The sequence below is a fragment of the Homo sapiens genome, chromosome 2, assembly GCF_000001405.40.
Source record: "Homo sapiens chromosome 2, GRCh38.p14 Primary Assembly".
Classification (NCBI taxonomy): Eukaryota; Metazoa; Chordata; class Mammalia; order Primates; family Hominidae; genus Homo; species Homo sapiens.
In genome coordinates this window covers 11,649,805-11,657,782 of record NC_000002.12, presented here as the reverse complement: position 1 = coordinate 11,657,782, position 7,978 = coordinate 11,649,805, and the positions used below count along the sequence as shown (strand labels likewise).

The following is a 7,978-nucleotide window of genomic DNA, read 5'->3' as shown; positions in this document are numbered from 1 at the left end:
TAATCAGCCTGCACTGCCCGCACAGGCCAGGCCCACTTTCTACCGCCAGCCTTGCACCTGGAGGCGGTAAGGCTGAGGCCAGGGGAGCAATGGTGCTTTTCCCTGAGTGCAGAGGACGCAGTGGCAAAAGACAGGGGAGGGTACCGGCCTGTGAGGGGAGGAGGAGAGAGATGGGTGCAGGACACAGCACCAAGGAGAGGTTCGTTTTGATGAATTGCGTCAACGCTTCCCTAGACTCTGTCCACCTCCTGACCCGTCCCCCACCCCCTACTCCCATGATGAACGCTACACACACTCATCACACACACATCACACAGGCACCCATCACACAAGTATCCACAGACTCATCACATGCAGACATACCACAAACACACGGCACATGCACTCTTGTCACACCTCACGTGCACACATGTCACATACACACTCATTACACCTACAGCACATATCAGATGCACCTCACACACACCACATGTAAACTCATCACATGCATACGTGTCATATGCACACACTCCTGGGCTGGTACACTGAGACGAGCCGGCAGTGGCTTCTGCACAACTCGGAGGTGACTGTTCTCCAGACCCCAGCCCCAAAACCCCTGAGAAGAGGCCAGAGGTGACGACCATACCCCCTTCACGGAGCCATCCCGGGCTAGGACCACCAAGGGCACCCACACGTGGGCCTCGTCGAGCGAGGACATGCCACCTGGAAAGGAGGAGCGACAGCAGCTCTGGCGTGGGGACCCCTAGAGAGGGCGGCTCTGACGGGCAGGCCACGGGCTCACTGTGTTCATGGAGGAAGAAGGAGCTTCAGACCCGCACCGGGAACGGTGAGGCCCAGCACGCCCGGCCCCGCAGCCGGTGATGGTGCAACCTCCGTTTAAGCCGCGGCTTCGGAGGCCCTGGGTCAAGGCTGTGGCTGCGGCTCCCCAGCCAACGCTCCAGAGAGGTCCAGGAAGCAGGAAAGGCAAGAAGCAGCTCCCAGTCCAAACGCAGATAAGACGGCGCGGGAAGCAGGCTTGGGCGAGGTCCGGGGCGTGGGCCGGAAGAGCCGGTTCCTCGACCTCATCACTGGGAGCAGGGGAACCCTGGGCAGGTTCAACTCCCTGAGTCTGTGTCTTCATCCGCGAAACTGGTGAAGGCAGAAAGTTCTTAAGCTATTTAAAAACAGTAATTCAGGTCAGCAAGAATGGATCTGAATTTGAAGCAATTTGTAATCTTCATTTATCTCTTTTGCTTGTGTGTGTGAGTGTGTGTGTGTGTGTGTGTGTGTGTCTACAGATATGTTAATGCACTTGATTTGGGGTATTCTCCCAAGACCCTGCTAAGGGTGTTACGTAATATATGGCATATATCCCATGTTACTTTTCTCAAACATGGAAGACCCAAATTGAAAAATACATCTGGCCCCAAGGGTTTCAGATAAGGGACTGTGGATCTGTAGTACCTAATAATAAGTTTATAATAATTAAATAAGATAAAGAATGTTAAGCTCCTACCACAGTGCCTGGCATATAGTAAATGCTCAATAAATGCTAGTTGTCATTATTGTCGTCATCTTCATCCTAGACCCCAAACTGGGTAAAACCTGGTAGTGTCCCTTCGAAAAGATTATATGAATGAGGGACACTTTTTCTGCTACATGTTACCAAAGTACAGTAAGCAGCAAGAGAAACAAAATGTAAAGAATAGACTGAGAAACATAGATGAGCTACTTTATATATTATCCAAAATTTTCATGCAAATCATTAGGCAAAACACCAGGACCCCAAAGGCCAAGAAACACACAAAAGGAAAATGCTCAGCCTCAATAGTTCCTGGAGAAATGGCAGCCCAAACAATAATACGTGACATTTTATGGGCAATGTATTAACAAAAAATGTCAATGACCAGAACAAATATTGGGTGACCTCAGTGTGCTCCTGTCTTAGAGGGAGAGGAAACTGAATAACCTTCTTGGAAAGCAAATTGGCAATATATTTTGAAAGCCATAAAGTGCTCAGAAACTTAGACCCTGTAATTCAACTCCTGGATATTTACTTTGATAAAATTTGCTAAAGAAGGAAAGGCCTCTCTGTGTGCACACAGAGTCATTGCAACATTCTTCATTTGGGCCTTTACGAGCAGGCACTGGTTCAACAACATAAATCTCTTACGCTGCCTAATCTTCACAGCAGTCACTACAGTCAAAACTGTTCTTACCATCACCACTTCACATATGGGGCAACGGAAGCAAAGACAAGCTAAGCAAGGTTCTTCTCCTGCTACTTGGTAACTCGAGGAGTAGAGCCCAGGCTTCGGAGTTGGGAGCCAGTGCTCAGCCTCTACATCATGCTGCTGCCCAGGAGCTGGATGGCAAAAGATGTCAACAGGCTGGATACCATGGCTTATGCCTGAAATCTCAGCACTTTGGGAGGATGAAGCAGGTGGATCACTTGAGGTCAGGAGTTTAAGACCAGCCTGCGCAACGTGGCGAGATCCTGCCTGTATAAAAAATACAAAAAATTAGCCAGGCGTGGTGGTGCACACCTGCAGTCCCAGCTACTCCGTAGGCTGAGGTGGGAGAATCACCTGAGCCTGGGAGGTTGAGGCTGCAGCAAGCTGTAATTGCACTGCTGCACTCCAGCCTGGGCAACAGAGTGAGATCCTATCTCAAAAAAGAAAGACGACAAGAGATTCGAGGACCAACATTATGGAGCTGAGTGAATCACAATGCCCTTGTTCAATCAAATCCCAATTATTAGGTCGTCCTTAACAAATATAAATTATAAAGTGTATTTAGCAATATAAGCATATTCTGATTATATGACTAGGAAAGAAAACAAGACAAATTATGATATTATGTACACATCACACAGATACAGAGAGAAGGTCAGAATGAAGCACTTAAAAATAAAAGTGGGGGCTTTGCTAAAGAGGTATGAGTGACCCCAGAACAGTACTAGTGGCTGTCCTCTTCATCACACCATCCAGGCACAATAATTGGGGGCACGCAGCAGACGCAGAAACGTATGGAGAAAAAAGAACCACTAAACCAGTTTTCTTTCATGTGTTGACATAATATTGTTTGTATAATCTTGAGATAACAAATTGCAGATAGGAATTTCGTTCCCCTGATGTTGTCCCAGGTGGTAACACTGAGCCTTGATTAAAGAGACAGGAGCCTGGGGTCAGCCGGGTCCAGGGATGAGTACTTAAACAAATCCCTTCGCTTCCTTGGGCCTTGTTTCCACTTCTGTAAAGTAGGCGTCATCACAACAACCTGCTGGGTTTTGTTTTGTTTTGTTTTGTTGTTGTTGTTGTTGTTTTTGAGACGGAGTCTCACTGTGTTGCCCAGGCTGGAGTGCAGTGGCGCGATCTCGGCTCACTGCAAGCTCCGCCTCCCGGGTTCACGCCATTCTCCCGCCTCAGCCTCCCGAGTAGCTGGGACTACAGGTGCCCGCTGCCACGCCCAGCTAATTTTTTGTATTTTTAGTAGAGACGGGGTTTCACCGTGTTAGCCAGAATGGTCTCGATCTCCTGACCTCGTGATCCGCCCGCCTTGGCCTCCCAAAGTGCTGGGATTACAGGCGTGAGCCACTGCGCCCAGCCAACTATCTGCTGGGTTTTAAGAATCAATTGGTATCAGGAATATGAAAAAATCCTTACTGTATTACCTAGCACCCAAAACAACTCAATAAATAGTAGCTGTCAAAATTATAGAAATGGGGAAGATATTAGTGATTGCCAAGTGTCTGGGATGTGGGGAGGGGGCCCTAGAGAGAGGTGAGTGTTGTTTTAAACATGTGATATGAAGGATTCTTACAGTGATGGAATTGTACTGTATCTTAAACCTATCGATGTCAAAATGCTAGTAAGGTGCACAGAATCTTGTATTCTTCCTTAAAACTGCATGTGAATATATAATTATCTCAACATTTTAAAAAGGAAGAAAGAAGAGGATCAGTCGTAGTCCCACCATGCAGATAACCACTATCAAATTTCAAATTTTTGATTTACATCTTCTGGGGCAAAAAAAAAATAAAAATAAAATAAAACAACAGTAGCTGTCATGATTATAAAGGGACTCTATGGGCACCTGAATGCAGATTATTATTATAATTCTATATTTAAAATTTTTAAATTGTGTATTTCTTTGTGTGATTGGTTGGTTTGGCTGCATACCTGCTTGCTTGCTTGCTTGCTTGCCTGCTTGCCTTGCCAAGATCAAGAGAGAGACCCCAGAAGTGTTTATTTCATCAAGCTTCCGTCTCTGAGCCATGACTTTATCAGTATCAGAATCCTAGGAGGCTTTCGCTAAACATTGAAAGATGAAGTATGCACTACGCACCTGTGTTAGTTTCTTATGGCTGCCATAACAAAGTAACACAAACTGCGTGTCTTAAAACAACAGAAATGTATTCTCTCACAATCCCGGAGGCTACAGATCTGAAATCCAGGTGTTGGCAGGGCACAAGACTCTAGGGGAGGAAACTTCCTTGCTTCTTCCAGCTTCCGATGGTTCTCAGCAAACCTTGGCATTCTTGGCTTGTAAATTTATCACTCTAATCTCTGCCTCCATTGTCACATGATAGTCTGTCTGCCTCCACGTCTCTCTCTCCCATCTTAGAAGGACACCAGTCATACTGGATTATGACCATATGGGACCCCTTCACTCCACTATGACCTCATCTTAGCTAGTTATATCAGTAATTATATCAGTAACGACCCTATTTCCAAATAAGTTCCCATTCTGAGGTCCTGGGGCTTAAGAGTTCAACACATCTTTTTTCAGGACATGATTCGACCTGTAATACCACCCAAACTCCCCCCTCCAGCAGGGTGGACTCCCACCCTGGGAAAGACCCTTGGATAGAGCAAGAATTAGAGTTGGAGTAGCCCATGGTCTCAAATGAGAAGAACGAGTCCTTGCCAAAGTTTTAGAAAGAAAGGAGAAGGAGAACTGGGACAGCATATTTGGCGAATGACAAATGCAGTCATAGAAGAATTCTTGTTTCTTCTCTAGACGTGAAGGCCTTTAAAAAGCTGCACTGGCCTTTCCAACTGTTTTGTGAAGTAAAATGCTAATTCCCTCTGGGCTGGGAAATCTGCCCAAGCAAGTAGACTGAAAAAGAAATGAAAGCTGTCAACACTGGATGCACCCTTGGTTCACAGTCTTCCCTTCAACAAAAGCTGTCTGCAGAATCTTAAGCCAGATCTAGGAGGTTTCATGCAATTTTTAAGATTAAAAGTGATTTCTAAACCTTAATACTGGGCTGTCCCACACTCTGGATGGCACATAATGTGGTATGTTTCATAAATGCCCACACCCAGGATTACCTCCAGGAAACCCGAGAACTGGGTTTCCCAGTGAGAAAAGATTGGATCTGTACCTTGATTGTACACAGAACCTTGCGAGCCAACATTGCCTTCTAATATATGGCATTCAGTGGCAGTAAATTGCTCAGAACAGGAAGCAGCTGTGACGTTAGTGGAAATATTATTACACATGCAGGCATGAATCTAGGTTTGTTCTATCACTTAATAGCTGTGTCATCTTAGACAAGTCATTTTACCTCTCGGAGCCCCAGTTTCTTCTTCCATAAGATGATCCCAATAATATCCATCTCAGAGTATTGTGTTGATTCAATGAAATAATGAATATTTAGTCATCTAGTAAAATGCCTGGCACAGAGTGGGTGCTCACAAATGTTTGCTACTCACTATGTTCATTTTGTAGCTAACACACTCTCTGGGGAGCTGGGTGACTTGGCCAAGGAATAGAAGCTCGAACCCAAGTCTTCTGATTTGAAATGCCAAGCCCTCTCCACTGCCACATCCTGCCATGGGAACTCCAACTCCTACATAATCAATGTTGCTTCTTGCAGGATGATTCCTCCTCTGTTACTGTAGCAGCTCTTAATTAGCTAAAAGCATCCAGGTGATTTTTTTCTTTGGGAACTATCTCTGACCCTGACTACTAGGCAGGTCAGAAAAGCATCTCTGAGCCCAGATGGCAAGGAACAGAGAAAACAGCTCTAAAGCTAGGCCTAGTAGGCACTAAGTTAGTGGTGCATAGCACATAGTCATGAAGACCCATTAAACACTGACCTACAGCCCCAGCCCACTGTGAACCCTTGTAGTAAGGTTGGGTTTTGCTGATTGGTTTGGGTTTTGAGGGCTTTCTATTTGGTTGGACTTGAGACTGTAAAGCAGAGTCCTGGGGTAAGCGAGGGTCTTAACTCTCAGAGTGTCCTAGAAAAGATTCTTGCAGGTCTTGGAGTGCCCCCTAAATGAAGAAATAGGAGGGTTTAACGGTTGGTTGTGTATGGACTGTTAGAGGCGCATGAATGGGGCTTCCTGTTCAAAATGACATCTGGCTAAGAGTCCCCTGACACAGCCCTTTCCAGTAGAACAAAGGTAAAGATACAATGGGGAAGGGCTAATGACATTAGGAAAAGCAAGGAATGGAAGCGAAAAATCTCCTAACTTCTAGTAGCTATCAAACTGCTGGAATTTTCAACCACTGGTTAAAGAAAATGCTCTATTGCCTAAAACAGCACACCTCTAGGTTTAAAATAAGTCGGAATTTGCTTAGCTTCCCACTGCCAGAAGTGTAGATGAAGACTTTGAAGTCATTGGAAACCTGCACCTCCATTTTATACCTCCCCATCAGTTCCCTCTTCTACATTAGTTTAGAAAGAACCTGGTAATAACACTGACATCAACCCAAATGTCCTGATTTGGATCATGTCTAGAGATAGGTCAGAGGCATTGCATCCTAACCAGCCCTTATCCATGGCACGGAGAAGGAGAATCCACCAACTCCAAAACAGTTAGGAAGCAAGGCCAAGGGCAAGCCTTACCAACTGAAAAAAATTGAATTTGATTTTTCTTCATTCCATAAAGAAAAGTAAAGATACATACACACACACACAGGACCAAATTGAGGGTGAGGAATTCTGCAGGATAAAATGTGCAATAGGTCAGGAGCACACCCTGGCAAATGGATTTACTATCCCAGACAATGATTTCTTCCCTTCATAGCTTGCAAGAAAGCATGGCTCCTTGGCATCGCATGCAAAAGGCCATCAAGGAAAGGACAAGTTGTGACAAAAGGGAGCATGGCAATGCCCTGCAGGCAGTAGAGAGGGAACGACAGTGTAGGAATTCAATCTGGGGTTTGGTGACACACTTGAGAAGCCCTTCTGGAAGGGAGTGGAAAGGCATGAGGAGATGAAGACAAGACAGGCCCTGATGGTAGATGAAAACCACAGAGCAGCAGATCACCAGAGCTAACGGGAAAGGGTGGGAGCTCAGAGGAAAAAAATGCCGCCAAATAGGAGGGATTTACTGAAAAGTTTTAACCAGAGGAGTGACACAATCAATCATTGAAACAGAGAAGGAACACTATCATATTGTGTGTGTGTGTGTGTGACATTTGAGTAGTGGGGAATTTCCTGTTTAAGAAAAAGTGTACAATTTACACATAAGTCCTCTTACCTTACAAAAAAGTAAAGCATCTGGAAGGCCAGAGAGAAAAATGCGGAAGCCCCCTCAACACACCCCACTCCCTGCCCCTTCCCTAATGTGGTCATTGTCAACAGTTTGGTGTTCATTATTCCAGTTTCTTTCTACACATAAGCAAAAATACATGCATAAATTACGCCTATGTATTTTTACATGTAAACTAAAGTTTGTGTTTCTTTCTCTGATCAATATCTCCATGTCAGTATACATAAAACTGCTAACATAAAAGTGTTATTTTTCGCTTTTGTGTTTGGAACACTGTTCTAGAAAATCAAGTCTGCCTAGGAGGAGCTAGAGTGGTTTAGAAAGTGTGTGCCCCCATCATCATTGGACTATAGAAGAGTAAGGACAAAAGCAGCGAAGATGAGTTAGAGAGATGGAGATATTTTCTTAGCAGAAAGGCTGAGAACTGAGGAGAGAGACTAGACTGATATGAAATGAAAAATGAGATGTTGAAGGCCAGTGAGACATAC

General features: G+C 45.0%; 1 annotated feature.

Annotated features, from left to right (window-relative positions):
• Positions 423-1,376: an enhancer, noted in NCBI's record as "H3K27ac-H3K4me1 hESC enhancer chr2:11796533-11797486 (GRCh37/hg19 assembly coordinates)". NCBI's record gives its function as "activates a minimal SCP1, AML or CMV promoter by ChIP-STARR-seq in primed H9 embryonic stem cells {active_cell/tissue: H9 hESC(primed)}" and the evidence as "EXISTENCE:reporter gene assay evidence [ECO:0000049][PMID:30033119]".